The sequence below is a fragment of the Homo sapiens genome, chromosome 10, assembly GCF_000001405.40.
Source record: "Homo sapiens chromosome 10, GRCh38.p14 Primary Assembly".
Lineage (NCBI taxonomy): Eukaryota > Metazoa > Chordata > Mammalia > Primates > Hominidae > Homo > Homo sapiens.
Genome location: NC_000010.11, coordinates 45230827 through 45252764, shown reverse-complemented (window position 1 = coordinate 45252764; position 21938 = coordinate 45230827). Strand labels below are relative to the sequence as shown.

General features: G+C 41.1%; 1 pseudogene; it reads left to right on the top strand.

Moving 5' to 3' along the window:
• The first annotated feature begins 5449 nt into the window (after positions 1-5449).
• CUBNP2 (cubilin pseudogene 2) lies at positions 5450-20747 on the top strand (annotated as a pseudogene).
• Positions 20748-21938: the final 1191 nt, after the last annotated feature.

Sequence of the window (21938 nt, the reverse complement as noted above, 5' to 3'; positions counted from 1 at the left end):
GTTTTATTTTTCCTTTTGATCTGTGTGTCTTTTGTTTCTTTTTTATGTCTCATAGCACTGGCTAGACTTCCAGTGCTATGTTGGATGAAAGTAGGGAGTGGGCATTCTTACCTTGTTCCTGATCCTCAGGGGAAATCATTCAGTATTTCACTCTTAAGTATGATGTTAGCTGTGGGTTTTTTGTAGCAAGTTGACGATATTCCCTTATATTCCTATTTTTCTGAGAGTTTTAATATAAGTAAAAATTTGACAAATGCTTTTCTGTAGCCAATAATAGGATCATGTGAATTTTCTTTTTTAGCTTCTTAATATGGTAGATTACATTGATTTCTGAATATTAAACCAGCCATGCATACTTGGAATAAACCCCACTTTGTCATAGTATATAGTTATTTGTACATATCACTGTATTCTATTTGCTAATTTTTATTGAGAATTTTGTATCTATGTTTATGAGAGACATTGGCCTCTAGTTTTCTTTTTGTACTATCACTGTCTATTTTTGAAATAGAGTAATAATAGCTTTATAAAATGAATTGTAAAGCTTTTGTGTCTCTTCTATTTCTTTGTAAGATATTTCATAAAATAGGTGCTAATTTTTTTTTTTTTTTTTTTGAGATGGAGTCTCACTTTGTCACCAGGCTAGAGTGCAGTGGTGTGATCTTGGCTCACTGCAACCTCTGTCTTCTAGGTTCAAGTGATTCTCCTGCCTCAGCCTCCCAAGTAGCTGAGATTACAGGTACCCACCACCTAATTTTTGTATTTTTAGTAGAGACAGGGTTTCTCCATGTGGGCCAGGATGGTCTTGATCTCCTGACCTCATGATCTGCCTGCCTCAGCTTTCCAAAGTGCTGGGATTACAGGCATGAGCCACCATGCTCAGCCACAACCCAATTTTTCCTAAAACATATGGAGATTTCTTTTTGGGAGTTTTGAAATTTTGAATTCAATTTTCTTATTTGGTATAGGATTATTCAAATAATTTATTTCATATTAAGTGAGTTGTGGTATTGGTTCATCTCCTTAAAGTTGTCAAATTTATGTCTGTAGTGTTTTTAGCATTCCCTTATTATCTTTTTAATGTTTGTAGGGTCTCTATTAATGTCTCCTGTTTCATTACTGGTACTGATGATTTGAGTCTTCTCTCTTTTTTCATTGGCAGTCTTGATAGAGTTTTTCAAATTTATTGATTTTTTCAAAGAACCAGCTCTTTTTAATTGATTATCTCTTTTGTTTTTCTGTTTTTAATTTTATTGATTTCTGCTCTTATAACTATTATTTTCTTGTTTTTGCTTGCTTTGAATTTATTTTTCTCTTCTTTGTCTGGGTTCTTGAGGTGGGAGCACCTCAAAAAGTTGGGGGCACAAAATAAAGTGTAACATTTGTATTGGTTCTCTTTTTGCTTCATTGTTAGTTTGTTTCTGTAATTAGTGTTAAGTTGTGATCAGCATAAATAATGGGTTATATTATTTGCAAACCTCAGGGTAAACTCAAATAAAAAACAAAACAGATACACAAAAAATGAAAGGCAAGAAGTTAAATCTACTACCAGAGAAAATTATCTTCATTAAAAGCAAGACAAGAAGGAAGGAAAGAAGAAAGAGAAGACCACAAAATAACCAGAAACAAATAACAAAATTGCAGAAGTAAGTCCTTACTTATAATTACATTGAAAGTAAATAGACTAAACTCTCCCATTAAAAGACATAGAGTGGGCTGCAGCCAAGATGGCTGAACAGGAACAGCTCCTGTCTACAGCTCCCAGCATGAGCAATGCAGAAGATGGGTGATTTCTGCATTTCCATCTGAGGTACCGGGTTCATCTCACTAGGGAGTGCCAGACAGTGGGCGCAGGATAGTGGGTGCAGTGCACCATGTGCGAGCCGAAGAAAGGCAAGACATTGCCTCACTCAGGAAGTGCAAGGGGTCAGGGAGTTCCCTTTCCTAGCCAAAGAAAGAGGTGACAGATGGCACCTGGAAAATTGGGTCACTCCCACCCTAATACTGCACTTTTCCGATGGGCTTAAAAAATGGCGCACCAGGAGATTATATCCCACACATGGCTCAGAGGGTCCAATGCCCACGGGGTCTCGCTGATTGCTAGCACAGCAGTCTGAGATCAAACTGCAAGGTGGCAGCAAGCCTGGGGGAGCTGCTTGGTGTGGTGGCGGGCACCTGTAATCCCTTGGGAGGCTGAGGCTAGAGAATCATTTGAACTCAGGAGGCGGAGGTTGCAGTGAGCTAAGGCAAGATCACGCCATCGCATCACGCCTGTTGCTTGGGCAACAGGGCGAGACTCCATGTCAAAAAAAAAAAAATGCTTGCTAATATAAACGTGATCATAAAGACAGCAATGATTATCATGAAATTTTAACTTGCTTACCAGAAAAAGTGCATGATCTAAAACTTGGCAAATGTGCTGTTCCGTGAAACAAGGGGGTGAAGATTAGAAAACTCGAGCTTCTTCGGATTCTGAATTAACTGAAATCATATTTAAGTTGGAAAGACAGTGCCATCTAGTGGTGCATTTCTTTTTCTTTTGAAATTACTGGTTTTAGCCATTCCTGCCTTATATAATTCTAGCACTTTAGGATAATGTCAGTGGTCATGGTCATGGCTGTTCTGTGGCCTTGAGCACATCATAGCTCTGCTATGAATTTAATATTTGGAGTTAGATACACACAGATACTCATTTAGAAATACAATAGGGCGGGGCGCGGTGGCTCACGCCTGTAATCCCAGAGGCAGAGGTTGCAGTGAGCCAATATCACGCCATTGCACTCCAGCCTGGGTGACAAGAGCGAAACTCCGTCTCAAAAAAAAAAAAAAAAAAAAAAAAAAAAAAAAAAAAAAAAGAAAGAAAAAGAAAAAAGAAAAAAAAAAAGAAACAGAAAAGGGGCACTGCGGATCACGAGGTCAGCAGATCGAGACCATCCTGGCTAACACGGTGAAACCCCGTCTCTAGTAAAAATACAAAAAAAATTAGCCGGGCGCGGTGGCGGGCTCCTGCAGTCCCAGCTACTCTCGGGAGGCTGAGGCAGGAGAATGGCGTGAACCCGGGAGGCGGAGCTTGCAGTGAGCCGAGATAGCGCCACTGCAGTCCGGCCTGGAGAAAGAGGGAGACTCCGTTTCAAAAAAAAAAAAAAAAGAAAAAGAAAAAGAAATATAATGAAGATTACTCAGAAGAAAACAAATGTTTTCTAGTTATGTGTTTGAGAGAAATCCAAGCACCCACTATTTCAAAGGATGTTTCTAGAAGGCTGCCATGGCTGCGAATTGTTCTGGGTGCTGGCGACACCACAGTGAAGAAGTCAGACAGAGTCTCCGTCTCCCCACCCGTGGGACTTACATCCTTGTTGGGAAAGAGACCGGACAAAGCAAATAAACAATAAATAAGATCGGTTTTGATTATAATAGGAAAATAAAACAGGATGATGCTGGGGGAGGGCAACATTCGATAGCACGGGCTTCTCTGAGGAGGTGACATGTGAGGTGAGGGCCCATGACAGGGAGTCCTTAGCTGTGCGGGTTCAGCTTCAGCTGAGGAAAGAAGTCTCCTGGCAGGAAGAGCTGCAGGAGCAGGGCCATGGGCAGGAGTCCTCCTGGGATGAAGGAAGTGCAACCAGCAGTGAGGTGCGGGCGGCCTGGGAAGGAGGCACAGGCCAGAGCAGCTGGGGCTTGCAGACCGTGAGAAGGAGCTGGAATTTTACTTTAGGTGCAACAGGGATCTGCCGGAGCATTTTAGTCAGAGCAGGAGCAGCATCTCATTGGAGTTTGCAGACATGCAGGCAATTCAGTGGAGAACACTATGGCTGCTCCGGAATTAGTTCTATTAAGAAGATGTTTCAGTGGGAACAGGTGAAGAACAATGGTGGTCACCTGGAGATGGAGCCCTCTGAGATATGTTTTGAAGGTAGAATGGAGTGGATGTGGAGTGAAGAGAGAGGAATCAGAGATGACTGAAGTTGTAGGCTTGAAACACTGAGGTAAAGAAGTCTCAGGGAGAACAGTTTTGGGAGGGCTTGTGGAAGAGAGGAATCAAAGCACTTGTTTATTTATTTATTAGATATTTATTGAGTGCCTCTCATGTGCAGACACCTAAAAACTGGGAACATGGCAGTGAGCAGAACAGAAATCTGTGCATTCATGGAACTTGTATTCTCTTCAGCGGGAAAGACAATGAAATAAACAAGTTAGCCTGGGCAACATAACAAGACCACATCTCTAAAATTTTTTTTATTAGCTATGCATAGTGGCATGCACCTGTAGTCCCAGTACTTAGGAGGCTGAGGTGGGAGGATCACTTGAGCCCAGAAGTTCAAGGCTGCAGTGAACTATGATTGTAGCCCTGCACTCCAGCCTGGACAACAGAGTGAGACCTTGTCTCCAAAAAAAAAAAAAGTTAAATATGTAGTATGTAGAAGAAGGTAATACTTGCTGTGGAGAAAAGTCAAGCAGGAAAGGAGATGGGAATGTTGGGAGAGTTTACACAAGGAAGGCCGTATTGAGTTGGGGCTATCTTTTTTTTTTTTTTTTGGAGACAGTCTTGCTCCATCACTCAGGCTGGAGTGCAGTGAAACGATCTCAGCTCACTGTAACCTCCACCTCCTAGATTCAAGCGATTATCCTGCCTCAGTCTCCTGAGTAGCTGGGATTACAGGCATGTACCATCACGCCAGCCAATTTGGGGATGTCTGAGTAAAGACCTGAAGAAATGTAGGAAGACAAACGATGTGGATATACAGGGAAGAGCATTCCAGGCAAAGGGAACAGCAAATGCCATACCCAAGAAGCAGGAGCATGACTGGTTTGGCTCAAGAAGCAAAATGAACAAAGTGGAGACAATAAGAAATGAGATCAGAAAGGTCAGGGGTGGGAGAGGAGGAGAGAAGGCCATTGTGATGGCTTTGCTTGTTCTATTGAGTGGATGGGCAGTTAGGAGGGTTTCAGCAGAGCGATGACCTGGTCTGACTTACATTTTAACAGTATCCTCTCGATGACATTTTGAGAATAGACTAAGAGGAACAAGAGCAGAATCAGGGGCTTTGTGGGAGTCTCCAGTGATCATCAAGGCAAGAGATCAGAGCAACTAGGGCCAGAGTGTTAGTGGGTGCAGTGGTTAAGGTAGCAGTGGGTGAGCAGACTCTCATGACACATTCTTTTTAAAATCATAGGTTACTTTCCCAAAGAGGAAAAAAATGTTAGGCATCATACCAGGTTTTTACTGAAAGTCATAATATCATCAATCCAATTATAATTCTGTTCCTAAATTAAGACCACCTCTAAGAACATCCATGTAAAAATGTTTAATCATGACCTATTGTGACTTCACATCCAATTTAGTGTGAAAGATGCAACTTTTTTGTAAATAATGGAGAAGTAATGAATTGTTTTTCTTTTCAGTTATACCATGGGGTTAGTGAAAGTGCCAACTTGGCTGGAACGTTTTGTGGTTCCACTGTACCTGCTCCTTTTATCTCTTCTGGTAACTTCCTTATGGTTCAATTCATCAGTGACTTAACATTAGAAAGGGAAGGATTTAATGCTACATACACCATCATGGACAGTGAGTAGATAGAAGCATTTTTATATGTTATGAAATACACATGTATTTAGGCACTGAAAAGAATGCCCTGCTTATTATATTGAAATTTCAATGTTAATTACTAAACTCAATGTCAATTACTATCTAAACTCAATGTCAATTACTAAACACCATGTTAATTACTCTATGTTTAATCTGTGGTACAAAATTTGATACAATTTTTAGTCAAGGATATAAACCCCCAATTCTTAATGGAATGATGAAAATATAGCTCCTCTGGGGTGGGAGATGAGGAAGACAGAATTTTAAAGATTGCCTGAGATGAGACATGAATAAATTGTCTCCTGTGTTGCTTTTTCTTCCCAGTGCCTTGTGGTGGAACATACAATGCAACTTGGACCCCACAAAATATTTCATCACCCAATTCATCAGACCCAGATGTCCCATTTTCCATCTGTACTTGGGTCATTGACACCCCTCCACATCAGCAGGTCAAGATAACTGTGTGGGTGTTAACAGCTGAGCTCATAAGACTGCATGCAGAATTACTTACAGCTTCAGGACTCACCACAGGTAACAATTATAGGATGAATGACAGTCGCATCTTTTCACTAGCTTTTGCAAAACACTTGAAATAATGAGGCCATGATTAAATAATTTTCTAAGTTACTTCCAGCTTAATGTGTTATTCATCTGTACACAAAGCCCTCCAATCAGGTGTGTCGAGAAACTTGAACTTGGTCCTGTAGGTCCAGAGCTCTCAAAGCTTTGTGTGCCTAAGAATGCATTAAGAAGCATCTTAAAAGTGCATCCTCCCTGGCCCACCCTCAGAGACTGAGTTATAACACCCATTTATCTGACTTTTTGACAAACATCTCTGGTGTTTTGGTGCCAATACCAGAGCTCCATGGACCATGCTTGGAGAAATATGTATAGTTAGTAGGATTTATGTATAGGCTGAATTGAAAGGGTCAATACAGAACACAAGAGAATCAGTGAAGAGGCTGTTTGGCACCAGTTTCAGAGGTCTATATTCATGGTAATATAAGAGAGATAAAAAGAAAAGGGCCGGGCGCAGTGGCTCATGCCTGTAATCCTAGCACTTTGGGAGGCTGAGGCAGGTGACCTGAGGTCAGGAGTTCAAGACCAGCCTGGCCAATGTGGCGAAACCCTATCTCCACTAAAAATACAAAAAATTAGCCGGGTTCAGTGGTGTGTGCCTATAACCCCAGCTACTCGGGAGGCTGAGGCAGGAGAATCGCTTGAACCTGGGATGCAGACGTTGCAGTGAGCCAAGATTGCGCCACTGCACTCCAGACTGGGCGACAGAGCAAGACTTTGTCTCAACAACAACAACAACAACAACAAAAACAAAAACAAAGAGGCTGGGCACGGTGGCTCACACCTGTAATCCCAGCACTTTGGGAGGCCGAGGCAGGTGGATCATAAGGTCAAGAGATTGAGACCATCCTGGCTAACGCGATGAAACCCCGTCTCTACTAAAAATACAAAAAAAAAATTAGCCGGGCACGGTGGCAGGCGCCTGTAGTCCCAGCTACTCGGGAGGCTGAGGCAGGAGAATGGCATGAACCCAATCGCGCCACTGCACTCCAGCCTGGGTGACAGAGCCAGACTCCATCTCAAAAAAAAAAAAAGAAAGAAAGAAAGAAAGCCATTTTGAGCTTTACAAAATGCTGAGTCTGAATTTCCTCTGGAATAAGATGTTGAGGAGACAGTTGGACACAAAGTGGGATGTTGACCTAAGGCCCAGAGATTTTTGTGCATCATCATTATCATGATAAGTAATTGAAATAATGAGAAGAATAAGATTATCCAGGGAAAAATATGTAAAGGGAGAGGCCGTGAACTGAGGATGGATACCAGGGAGAACATTTGAGAATACCTGGATTCTCTTTCTGCAGTCGGGGGAGCAACTAACCCTCCCCAGTTCATTCCAAGAATGTCATGTTCAAGCCCCATGTGCTGGAATAGTAGAGTCCCATTTGTTGTCTTCTGAGTTTTCAGGGTCCTCTTCATTATAAATCTGGGGTCCCCTGCTTCTCACCTGGTCTTGCTGGGGAGAGAAAAGTCCCGTTTGTCTGACTCCAATGTGGAGAGGTGTGAGAGGTGCTGGCAGCTGAATAGGCCCTGGACTTGCTCAGTTTTGTGCAAAGCTTAGATGCTGAGATGAGCTCCCAAGCTCTCAAGATGGACAAGATGCTAGACTATCATCATTCTGTTGGTAATGGTTTTCAGGACAAAATCCCTATTACCCAGTGGTACCCTTACTGGAAGGACTTAGAGCCAAGTGGAACAAGGTCCTTTGGGTGAAGCCTTTTCCCCCTGCTTCATGAAGCTAAGACAATGAGGATCATGGTGGACCACTCAGCGTGCCACTTACAGAACACTAGGCACCAGCTGGAACATAATAGCAGCTGGAGTGGCTGTGAGTAAGACCCAGTGTTTGTCATGACTGAATAATGTTTTCAACTGAATGAATACAGGAAACAATCAAGGGTTTCAGACTGGGTAGGTAGGGAGGAAAGACAAACATTGACGGATGAGCTGGGAGAAACTGGGATTCTCAGGGTATCCAAGAATAGACAGAGAAGGTCTAATTGGAAGATCATGAAGGAATGATGTGTAGGGCTGTTATAGAGGATGTACAGTAGCTACCTGGCATTGGGAATGAACGGAGACACAGAGATGGAAGTCACTGGTGTTAAGAAATATAAAGTGAGGGTGTTTAATGGCTTGTCTGTATAAACACTGAAACCTCTAAGGGTTCAGAAAGGAAATTGGGGGCAGGAGATTACTATGAGCTGAGACACCTCAAGTCTTTCATAAATGCTGGGAAGTAACCAGGAGAAAAGTAAGTGAGAGTGATGACAATGGTGAGAATATATTTGACCAGACGTAGAGACCCTCAAAGGTGAACCAGCTTTGAGGCAAGGATGGAAGCTGCAGTGAGGAACGTGGAGCATCCCTCCCTTCCTCCTAGGCTGACCCCCCACCCTTCCTACTCAATAAACTGTGGAGCATGGGAAAAGAGTGGCCTCTACCAGGAGGCTGGTGGAGAAACAGGTTTTGCTAAGGCTACAAAGTGGAAAGGCGGGGGATGTATATAGAGAATGATTGACCGTGCAGTTAAAGTTCACAGGATACAGCAAAGTTAGACAAGGACCAAGAGCAGGAGACGGTTGGGAGGAGGAGTGGAAGTCCTGAGCAGTAAGAGGAGTTTGCAAGCAGAGGTGGGTTGGGTCTTTCAGTAGGTTCCTAAGGACTGCAGATATTAGAGACATACTTGTGACAGGGAGGCTGCAAATACCCTGACTTTGGTACAACTTGTTTTTATGCAAGAACTGATGGGCATTCAACTGCATTTACTCCAGGCTTTTGAGAGGTAATGAGGGCTGCCCAAGTGTTACAAAGGGGAACCAGCACCTCATTACAGGCCCTGGCTGGCTTGGGGATGTACAGTGGAACCAAAGGCTCTGATTAGATTTGCTAAGGGGTAGCAAGGGCTGGATCAGGGCAATGATGGTTGTTAGTCTCATGGAGCTCAGGACTGGCAAAAGCCCCAGGAGGAGAAATCCAGTGAACTCTCAAACAGCCCAGTGGTGCTCAGAGCAATGGCACAGGCCTCGACTAGGAAGTCACATCAGAGGGGAGGGGTCTTGTTTTCAGCAGGGAAGTGTCTGTGGTTTCAGCAGAAACTTTGCCTCCCCTCCTCCCTCCCCTCTGGGAAGGTGCGACTTGTATCAGTTCCAAGGCCAAAGTGAGTCTTCTTGCAGAGCACTTCCAACAACAGAGCTAGTTTCCATGGTTAAATATTTAAGCCATACTTTTATAGGCAGTTTAATTTCTGTTATGCTGTTCTCTTCTAAAATAAATCTAACATGACTTGGCTTCCATTTCATTTCAGAGTCATGGAAATTCAAGAATTCAGTTCTGTGGCAGAAATGCTTTGGCTATGCCGGTGTTTTATTCTTCTATGAGTACTGCAATTGTCATTTTCAAATCTGGAGTTTTAAACAGAAATTCTAGAATGAATTTCACCTATCAGATAGCAGGTGAGCCCCAGAACTTCATCTTTTATTAAGAAAAGCTGCCATCATTACAATTATTCCTAGAATAATTACAATTATTTCTAGAATTGACTCCCGTTAGTAAATTAAGATTTGTTAACAAAAACCACACCCATCTCTTAACTAGAACCCAGGCCCAATTTAGCAAATTACTAAAGTTGGTTTCTAAAGAGGTAAAGAGAATACAATACTAACCAAGATGCTTAGAATGCTAGCATTTTCTTCAACGTCTATGTAGTTGATTTTAAAAATATACCAGTTATTTTGTTAATTTACGCACTTAACCACACTGAATATACATATTTATTTATGAGAAATATATATATATTTACAAGAGCTTTATCAAAATATAATCCTCATGTCATACAATTTACCCATTTAATGTTTATATTTCAGAGGTTTTTAGTATTTTCACAAGGTTGAAAATCTTAGAAAATTATTTTTGTAAAAATCAAAAAGCCTTAAAAGAGTTACCTGATTACTATCACTGAGAAGTTTATTTTCACAGAACACTTTATTTGATATTTATTTTGAATTGATTCAAATGAAAGCTGCCTTTGGTTAAACAAACAAAAGTACTTTAGATTTTTTTTACAAAAAAAAAGGTAAAGAACGATTTCCCACAAATAACTCACAAATGGATTTAAAATCCTTGCGCAAAACTCTGTCTTGGAGGTAGTGTCCTTGTCTAAAAGAGAGTCTGAATGCTAGCCACTTCACCTCAATGTGATCAGAAAAGTTCAAAGGATCCTCGAGTATTCGTCTTTAAAGGAGAAGGCTCCTGTGTCATGCTTCCTGTAGGGGTGTTTGTGTGAATGAGCTGCTGCATTGCATGTGTGTGTGCTGCTTGAAATTCACTTCACTGCTCAGGGTCTCAATTATCTCAAAGGTAAACGAAGAAGCTGGATTACCTTTTTCTAAAGTTTGTTCACATATAATGATCTTTTTGAATTATTCCTGCGAAGTTGAAAGAGCACTGAACGCTGGAATGCATACATTAATTATGCATATTTTTCTCCTAAGATTGCAACAGAGACTATCACAAGGCATTTGGCAACCTGAGGAGTACTGGATGGCCAGATAACTACGACAGTGACATGGATTGCACCATTACTCTCACAGCCCCCCACAACCACACCCTCTTTTTTCATTTGTTTGGCATTGAGAACTCAATTGAATGCAGAAACGATTTCTTGGAGGTAATATGCATTTGAATATCATTTAAATGATGATGGATTTTACACCTTTTCTTTAGTGCTTCTAATGCTCTATGATTCTTACTTGTTTCATTAATTTATTCATTACCCTTTCATTCCCTAAACATTTACAGAGCACCAGTCCAAACACCGGAAATTGGGAACCTCAGGGCCCTCGGAAGACTCCTAGTCTGGTGGAAAGGACAGATGGGGTATAGCCAATTACAGCACAATGTGGAAAGGACTAACTGAGTCCAGCAGGGGTAGGGGTTCCTAACTCAGTCTGGGAACTAGAAAGCTTCTTTAAGAGGGCAATATGTAAGTTGAGACCTAAAAGGATCAGAGGAAAGTCTAAGAACAACAAGCTGATTCTGTAAAATGAAACTGAATGATACTAAATAGCTCACCTAATTTCCCTGACAGCTACAGTAAGTTTGGGGCATCGTCAACATCCTCTAAAGACAAGTGTTGCCTTGAAAAAGTGCTCCCTTGTTGCAGGAAGTGTGGTCTGTCCTTTTTCCACCACAACTCCAGAGCTCTCATTTGGACACAGAAGTGACTTTGCTGTTTGCCCATTCTCCACCCATTCACCCCCAACTCCCACCCCAGGACACACTGAGAGAGAAGCCCCCCTTGCACCTGGAGCAGGCAGAGCCATGCCCCTTGTGGGCCTGAACCTTTGGGGTCTTCCAGAGCCCCTGGTGAGCTCCCTCTGTGCTCTTTCTGCCACATCACCTGCATTGAGCATGTGAGATGGAACATGAATATCATTGCTCATAGGCAGGAAACGGTCTGAATAAGACTCATCTGATGCGGACCCAGTGTGTGGAACTCAGCACCTGTGTTTTGCCAGAAAACCCCCCAGAGCTCATGCGGTTGTGACCTTTGCAAGCTCTGTTGAAAATGCATTCATCCTTAGGAAATAAACTCAGGTGGAACCTGAGACTCAAAAGGATAAGGATGCTGAATTCCTCTGAGAGTGGAATTTAAATCTAAACCTCATCCCGATGCTCTCTAAACTGGCTTTGTTTCACCATACAAGAGGCTTCAGTAAGGTTTCCAAAAAGTTTGCTTGTTCCTCTACACCTGATCTGGAGTCGTATTTTTTGTTTTATTTTTTTTTCTCACTGCCTCTTTGATCAGGTCTTCATTCAAAATAAGCTTCCCAAGATGATTTGATCTTTGTAGCATAAACAAATGTACTGGTGTATGCAGCAGGCTTCTTTCCTTCTGTGGGAGGATTCTTTCCAGTGGGCTTCTGTTCAGCTGCTAGTTTCTTGGTAGCTGCAGCCTTTGTTCCCAACAAAACATCTTTTCTCACCTGCAACCCACCTCATCTGATTTGGCTTCTAGGGCTGCTGTCACCTTCTGCCCGGCCTGGTGAGGAAGGGTGTTCTGGCACATGGTCTTTGCCTATGGGTTTAGCTTCAACATGATTCTTGATGCAGTTTTATCATCCTGGAAAGCTCTCCCCTTTGGAATTCATCTAAATCCTTTATTAATCAATAGCCTTAACATGTAGTTTCATAAATAACACTCAGAGGAAGCTCATGCCTTTTCTAAAGGAATATTCCCATGACAGGAAACCAAAAGATGTATGTAGCAGGGAGGAAACGAAGAGACAAATACAGTATTCTTTGTGCCGGTCAGGTTACTCAACTTGGACCTACGTACCTCCCCCACCACGGAGATCCATATATTTATATGAAGTGTAAAGCAGAAAGAATGAGGAGAGTGGGATCTGGATGAAAGATGGAATAATCCCGTTAGGTTGGAGTCACAGTGCAACTAACTCTTAACTCACTCCAGCTTGAATGGACCATTATTGATCAGAGTCAACATTTGCCATTTGCCTGATAGATGCTGGGAAGCAAAGCCTTGCTTTCCAGCCATGGACAGTAAGAACTCTTCCTCCTCGCTGTCCTTCATTACTCCGTAGAATGGATCTGAAACTTCCTGTCCCATAAGCAAAGAAAGGAAACCACAGCTTAGGCCTGTAAAATGTAGCTCCGTCTGGCTCTCGGTGGGAAGACTGTGGGCATAGTTTATTGGCAGCTGGACCAGGAAGCCTCAGCATTCCATTCTTGTGAACTGCCGTAGGAACAGAAATGTCTGACTGAGGATTCTGTGTTACTACCAAGTGAGGGCCGAGCTCTAGACCATGCCTGGAATCTGCGATTGTTTTCATGCCTTCACCTCCCCTTCCAGGATCCTCTGATGTCGCAGGGATGCCCGCTGCTCTCGGTGGCCCCATTCCTCCTAGGAGACGAAAGTGAATAAGACAAGTTGTTGGCAGTGTCCGTGAAAATTAGTATCTCACTGCTCCTCTCAGAGCAACGCCATTTTAAAAGAGGACCCCTGGGTGAAAACACCCAAACTCAAGGGTATGGTGCTGGAAGGTCTTAAATATGGCAGCCCTCCTATCTACTAGTGGATAACTGGCTACTCTGTCATGGCAAGTCTACTTTATTTAAACACTTAGCAGAATAATCCCTGAAGCACTAGAAAGGCATTAGTCTCTCCCATGGGCTACTACATAGACCTAAAAGGAATCTCACCTGATCAACACAGCCCAGCAAGATTAGACTGTCTTAACTCTGTGACTTAAGATACCAGCAATTAACCAAATTTTAAATCATGGAATTACAAAGGGAAGAGAGGAACTTCCAGTGTTTTGAATACATGGATCAGTAAAATCAGCATTTCTACATGTCAGGCTGGTTCCAACATACATTGCCTGTGTAACGTTTCCTTTAGAAGCGTCGAGAGCCCTCCTGGAAGCAGGTCTAGTTGTGAATGCAGGGTAGGAGCCAGGCTGGGGGACAGAAAATGGTTGAATTCACAGTGTGGTTCTCTCTTCCCTCAAAACACCAACTCATTTCCTGTTTTTATATGTGTCTATTCAAAAATGAGGAGTTGAAACAAAAAAGCAACAAGGCCTCGGAATGTGTTTTTAAAACACGTTTAACAACAGTCAGAAGTTGTATAGATTTATAATTCTGTCCTTCACCCATACAGAAATTCCTTTTGTTCTGAACTTTATTATACTTTGCATTGTATTTTCTTCGTAGCCCCTTTACAGCCAAGTAATTTTCAATGGGAAACCCGTGTGCGCGCGCACTCATACACACACACACACACACTATGAAAAATGTATAATAGTTGACTGGAAACAGGGCAGGCAACATTGCCCCCACCCATCCCCACCCTTTAAAAATTCACTTTACCTACATTCTTCCAAATGTTTCCCCAAAAGCAAAGGCTGCAGGATCATAGCAAAAACTATTATATAAAAAAGCAGCCTGATGTTTTAATTGCTACAGGTTAACAGATATTTCTGAATCCAAATACAAATGTTTTTTGATCTACACATGGAACATTTTTCCCCTTTGCAAGTGAAGATGACTTCTGCATGTATTTTCAGAAAACCCTTCATTCTTATGTATATAAAAAGACAAAGCTTTTCCAAAAAGTGTCATCATTCAAATTGTCTCACAGTGTAATGTATATACATTGGAGAAGAAAGTGTAAGTTTAATAATGAATGACTCCTTCCTAAAGGTGAGAAATGGAAGTAACAGCAATTCACCATTACTTGGCAAGTACTCTGCTGCCAAACCCTGTCTTCTCTCAAAATAATGAACTATACCTATGATTTAAGAGTAATAGTGTAATTTCGGATCGTGGATATGAAATCATCTGGACCTCATCACCCTCTGGTAAGACATTTGTACTTTGTACGGGAAAGCAGTGTAGGTGAGTAAAACATAAGGTGTCTAATAGAAAAAGGCAAAGTAACCTTATATTTTTTAGCTACCTGTGTAACTGATTAATTCATGTTAAGAATAGAGATTTTTAACAATGAAGGTACAAATTATTTTGTTGTTGTTGTTGTTGAGATGGAGTCTTGCTCTGTCGCCCAGGCTGGAGTGCAGTGGCACGATCTCAGCTCACTGCAACCTCTGCCTCCTGGGTTCAAGTGATTCTCCCACCTCAGCCTCCCTAGTAGCTGAGATTACAGTTGCATGCCACCATGCCCAGCTAATTTTGTATTTTTAGTAGAGACGGGGTTCTGCCATGTTGGCCAGGCTGGTCTTGAGCTCCTGACCTCAGGTGATCTACCCGTGTCGGCCTCCCAAAGTGCTGGGATTACAGGCATGAGCCACTGCACCTGGCCAGATTACTTTAAATTCTACATTTATTCATTATTTCTGTTTATAAAATAATATATATTCATATATGAAGCACATATAAGGTATGAAGATTTAAAAATTCCTTTGTAAATTCAATTTTGTTAGACTTTTTGACTGTTGGTTTGACCATCAAGGAAGTTCATTGACAATTTAAGGAAAAATATTTACCAAAAATCCAACTTATGAACACATTCTGGCATATATATGAATGGTTGTGCTTCTCACAGGCCCTGACATTTGTTGGCAGTCCTGGAGAGAAATTGCTTTTTTAGGGTAGTAAGTATCCTCTCATATTTTTGGTTGGCCACTTTTCAAACAGCTAAAGAAAATTTAAGTCATGTCAATACATTTAATGCAAGAGAGGAGAAATACCTTTATGAAATGTCCTCAAATACCAACATACATTCCAAATAAAAAAAGATAAACAGAAATCACTTTAAATACCTTAAGAAAATGGTTCTATTAAGATAATCGTGGGTAATGGAATTTTGGCACCCAAAGGAAGACAAAGATGACTTCCAATGCTCAAATTTTATCGACGAGGAAATAAAACACCAAGATTAGGCTGGGTGTGGTGTCTCACGCCTATAATCCCTGGGAGGCCAAGGCAGCTGGATCACCTGAAGTCAGGAGTTCCACACCAGCCTAGACCACATGGTGAAACCCTGTCTCCACTAAAAATACAAAAATTAACTGGACATGGTAGTGCATGCCTATAATCCCAGCTACTTGGGAGGCTGAGACTGGAGAATCACTTGAACCTGGGAGATGGAGGCCGTAGTGACCTGAGATCACACCACAGCACTCCAGCCTGCGTGACAGAGCAAGATTCTATCTCAAAAAAACCCACCAAGATTAATGAGTTGCCCAAAATGCTCTGCTAGACTGAGGTGGAGATGGGACTAGACCTCGGTGGTCAAAGGCCCAGCCAGGTGCTCCGTAACTATGACAGCCAGCTTCTTCCTGTCCTGGAGGCGATCTGGATCTCCACAGATATGTAGTCTATATGTAGTCTAAATCATGACAGCCTTCATATACAGATTAACAAATTGAACAAATTAACACCAAAACTTGAAGTATTCGACCTTAAGTATGTCAGTTATTAGGGTGGTAAAGTTACTTTTATAATGAAGTCATTCCTGCCACCACCTACAATCACACACTTCCTCTTGGTTTAGTGCTGAATTTTCCTTCTAATTTTACTTCACTCACATCATTGGCATCAACTCAGGGTAAGCAAAGATCTCCGCACCATCGAAAGCACAGAGGCAACAACTTGATTTTCTCCCACAGTTACTTTATTAAGTTTTTGTTTGTTTGTTTTGTTTTGTTTTTGTTTGTTTGATTGTTTTCCATTCTGCTGTCAACCCCCGATTTTCAAAGTACAGTCCTGGAGGAAGTTGTCCTTGGATCGTGATATGCAGGCAAAGGCATGTGTGTTGAGGATGGAAGAGGTGGTGGTGGCGATGGGAAGAGAGGGGAAGTGAGGAGAAAGGGTGTAGCCCAAAGAAGAGGAACAGGAAAAGCGGTTTCTGCCTCTATTATTCTTGCAGAGTCTCAGCACCTTAAGAAAATGAAGTCTTATTGCCTAACAAGCCAGACTGGATGGCTTATACATTGTTGAATCAAACTTCCTGTCCTGTTTTCCTTGCAGGATGTGGTGGAACTCTTTATGGAGACAGAGGCTCATTCACCAGCCCTGGCTATCCAGGCACCTATCCAAACAACACGAACTGCGAGTGGGCACTGGTAGCTCCTGCTGGAAGGCTTCTCACTGTCAACTTTTACTTCATCAGCATTGACGATCCAGGAGACTGTGTCCAGAACTATCTCACACTCTACGATGGGCCCAACGTCAGCTCTCCATCCTATGGACCATACTGCAGAGGCGTGAGTAGAACAAACATTTTATATTCCCATTTGTTATGTTTAGACAATGAGTCACTTAATGTAGACTTTTTTTTTTTTTTTTGAGACAGAGTCTCGCTCTTGTCACCCAGGCTGGAGTGCAGGGGCACAACCTCAGCTCACTGCAACCTCCGCCTCCCAGGTTCAAGCAATTCTCCTGCCTCAGCCTCGTGAGTAGCTGGGATTACAGGGGCCTGCCACCACGCCCGGCTAATTTTTGTACTTTTAGTAGAGACGGGATTTCGCCATGTTGCCCAGGCTGGTCTTGAACTCCTGACCTCAGGTGATCCGCCCACCTTGGCTTCCCAAAGTGCTGGGATTACAGGCGTGAGCCACTGCGCCCGGCCTGGTGTAGGCTTTTAAAGGCAGACACATGCAGAGTACAAAGCACAGCCTTTAACAAATTGAGCAGTTTTCCGACTTGCCTTTCTATTCTCGGAGCATGAGTGCCATCTGGTGGGCATTGCATTAAATTACTATTAATAGTTACCAAAATCAGCTCTGCTTCAGAATCACCTGTGGAGTTACTTACATTAGACTTCCAGTTCCCACTGAAACCTATTGAATCAGGATTTCCCGGGGAGGAGCCACAGCATGCTGTTTTTTAAAAGCTCCCTCTGTGACGTCAGTGCACCGCCTAGGGTTGAATACCCATGTTTATTTCTGCATAAATAAAACTATAGAACATTTGGACACCTGGCTCTATTTTATCTACTTCTTGCTGAAAATTGCAGGAATTCTTTGAAGAAATGGTGACTGATAGTTTGTTTTTGTAAAGCTCATATCAGGGCTTTACAAACAACAACTCAGAATCTGATGTTGATTCAATATTGCAGGCATCTGTGCTTACGGTCCTCTCATTTTATGTGCAAGTAGATACTTAAAGAGAGTATGGGCTCACACCTGTAATCCCAACACTTTGGGAGGCCCAGGCAGTTGGATCACTTGAGGTCAGGAGTTTAAGATCAGCCTGGCCAACATAGGGAAACCCCATCTCTACTAAAAATACAAAAATTAGCCAGCATAGTGGCACACGCCTATAATCCCAGCTACTCAGTAGGCTGAGGCAGGAGAATCGCTTGAGCCCAGAAGGTGGAGGTTGCAGTGACCCGAGATTGCGCCACTGCACTCCAGCCTGGGCGACAGAGCCAGACTCTGTCTCAAAAAACAAGAGAGTAAGTAAGGGAAAAGTGGCTGCTGGCAAGTGGGTATCTGTTTCTAATTTTTCTGCTCTTTAATCACTTAGGCTTTGTAATCAAACTAGACAGAGAATTATATCAGCTGGAAATCTAGATGGTTTTTTAAAATATATTATTTATAAAATTGATAAATGCTATTTTCAGAAGTATCAGAAAATAGACTAATTTTTCTAACACCCTAGCATTCTCATATATTCTTAACACCTTTCTTTGAATATCTTTGCATATATTTTACATGCATATTTTTTACTGTTTGATGTTGTGTTTTTTCCACTTACCAATACATCATTAATATCTTATCTTAATAAAAACACTGGTGCATCGTATTTAGTTTTTGGAGAGTATTCCATTGCATAAGTGCAGCCTAATTTATTTAACGAAGCCCCTCTAAGTGGACATTTAGGTCTCTTGAACTTTTTGCAACTACAGACAACACTTAATAAACTTTTTGTTAGTGATATCTTTATACACGGAGTTACATTACTTGGTGAGAAATGGTGATCGCAGGACCAGCAGATACTGTATTACGGGGTTGCACAGAAGGCCCACAGACAGAGACCCCAGTAAATGTGCCACACATCAGATTTAGAAGCTAACCAGCTCTTAGACATTGAATTGAAATTTACAAACATTTCAAAAGGGAGGAAAAGAGACAATTTTAACAATATCATGACTTTATATTGACAGGTTTTTTTTTTTTTGTGGGCATGGTTTTCAGTGGCTTGCAAACATATAACCCCATTTGATCCCCACAGTGACAATCCCGTAAGGTGGAAAGAACAAGTATATCCTGGACTTTGCAGATAAAAGAAAACTGAGTCACTGAGAGAAGTGATTGCCATTTAATCCAGTGCCGCGTTAAGCTGTAATATATAGCGAGATACATCAATTTTTAAACTGTTGGTGTTTACAGTATTTTCCCAGTTTTACATTTTCTTTTATAAATGTAGATATAATTTCATGTGTAATTGTTTTTTTCCTTAAAGGTACCACTGATTTAACACTTTATAAATGTTAAACATAAATTTAAAAAAGTAAAACATAAGTATAAAATAGTCAATTTACATAGAGAGGTAGCTCTTATTTTGCTAATATTTACATACTTACAACTTTTTGTAAGTATGTAACTTTTTGTAAGTTGTAATATTTTGCTAATATTTACATACATACAACTTTTACATTTTACATACATACATATTTACATGCATATTCACATACAAAAGTCATATACTTTTTTATATATACTCCTTAAGTATACAATTCAACTTTTGTATGTATGTAAATATGCATGTAAATATGTATGTAAAATGTAAACTTACATTTATATACATACAATTTACATACAGAGGTGGCTCCTTATTTTGCTAATATAAATACAAACCATCCCCTGATTTGGGAGATATTTTGTGTTATGGTAAATACCATTGTTCACAGGGAAATCCTCTATCCCTTGCAACTACAGAATATGAACATCAAGCAAATGAAAGAATAATGGGAAAAACAAGGAGAATCAAAGGAGATTCTAAAACTTCTGTTGACTGTCCATACTAGTTTGTCAATATAAAAGAAGTTGTTGAAATTTGGAAGCAGATTAAAGTGGAGGTAAAAAGTAGACATGCATAGGAATAAAAATATTGCATATACCTTGATATATCTCTTACAGAAAAAAATCTATACTCACTTGAATTAGTGAGTATCTTGGAAATAAGTCTGTGTTTTGATGACTTGGGGTGGGGCTGAGGCAGGAAAACCCAGTAATGTGGGCATCATGAGAGCAGGGCTTTTTGCCTGTTTTGCTCATTTTTTAATATCCCTAGTACTAAAAACAATACCTGCAGTGTGGCAGTGACTTGATCAATATTTGCCAAATGAATGAACAGAAAGTGAGAGAAAACGGGGACCCATCTATTCCCCTCAACACACAGACAAACACACACTGTTCCACAGAAGTATATGAAAATAAATCCCAAGAGGAAGCTATAAACATTGAGGATGAAAATAGCATATTTTACTTAGTGTGATCATTTCACTTACATATGTTTCTTTAAGAAAAATTAAATTTGCAGTAAGAACTTGAATAAGAAGTTCAAATTTTTCGATAACAGTTTTATTGAGGTATAATTTACATACCATACATTTCCATACATACAATTTACATACCATGCAATTCACCTCCTTAAAGTATACAATTCAGTGGTCTTTAGTAGATTCACAGAGTTGTGTGGCCATTATCAGCACAGCCAATTTTGGGACACTTTCATTACTCCCCAAAAGAAACCCTGTACCCACTAGCAGTCCTTCCCCATTTTCCCTTAACTCCCCATGCCCAGAAATATTTCTTTGTAAAGCATTTGCATTCATTCTTTGCAAGGTTACTTCAAGAAATATATGCAGGTTCACTGTAAATTCTATAAAATTTCTTTATGTGGTACTTTGTTACTAGGTTAACATTTCTAGAAAAAGTTTCAAATATGTGAAGTATATAATTTGATACTTTTTTTTCAACTTTAGGATACCAGCATAGCTCCCTTCGTGGCTTCCTCAAATCAGGTCTTCATAAAATTTCATGCTGCTTATGCATGGCATCCATCCACATTGCAATTAACTTGGGACTGCTAAGTGGGTAACTCAGCATGTTCACTCAGCACTTTCCCTCTGCAGCATGCTAGACAGGACTTTGTCATCTTTATACACGACCCCTGCCAATGCCATGGAGAATAAGCTGTACTTTTATGGTTTTCACCAAACCATGGATAGAATCAATATTTGTAGGTTGGGCATGGTGGCTCATGCCTGTAATCTCACCACTCTGGGAGGCTGAGGTGGATGGATCACCTGAGGTCAGGAGTTTGAGACCAGCCTGGCCAACATGGCGAAACCCCGTCTCTACTAAAAATACAAAAATCAGCTGGGTGTGGTGGCAGGCACCTGTAATCCAAGCTACTTGAGAGGATGAACCAGGAGAATTGCTTGAACCTGGGAGGCGGAGGTTGCAGTGAGCCAAGATCACACCACTGCACTCCAGCCTGGGTGACAGAGCAAGACTCCATCACAAAAAGAAAAAAAAATCAATATTTGTACATTTTCTTGAGCATAGAATATACCTTCTTTAGTCTTGAGTGTGCATTTCATTCTAATATTTTCAGCTGAAATTTAAAAAAATATCTTTGAAAGACTTGGAAATGATTATGGCATATGTGACATACATTTTTCAAAGTTAATAACAATAGCCAGGGACAGTGGCTCATACCTGTAATCCCAGCATTTTGGAAGGCCATGGCAGGAGGATTGCTTGAACCTAGGAGTTCGAGACCAGCCTGGGCAACCCAAAGTGAGACCTCATTTGTACCAAAAATACAAAAATTAGCCGGGCATGGTGGCATGGACCTGTGGTACCAGCTACACAGGAAGCTGAAGCAGGAGGATCACTTGAGCCCAGTACGTTAAGGCTGCAGTGAAACCCTGTGAACCACTTTATTCCAGCTTGGGCAACAGACTGAGACCCTGTCTCAAAAACGACAACAACAACAAAAGTTAATGATAATATAGAAGTATAAATTTCATGTGAATGTTCAATTAGGGATAATAAATATTATTGAATTGTACACAATTATGCTGCATTAATTTTTGACATATTAAAACTCTGTCTTTCACTATGGGGCATAAATTTTCAAGTTTAATTTTTACATTTTGGAAAAGAATTTAATATACATATGAATCTTCCAGAGAATCAATTCTGGAGACAAGCTGCCTGAGTTTGAATTTTAACTTTACTAGTTAAGTGCTTACTTAATCTCTCGGTGCTCAGTT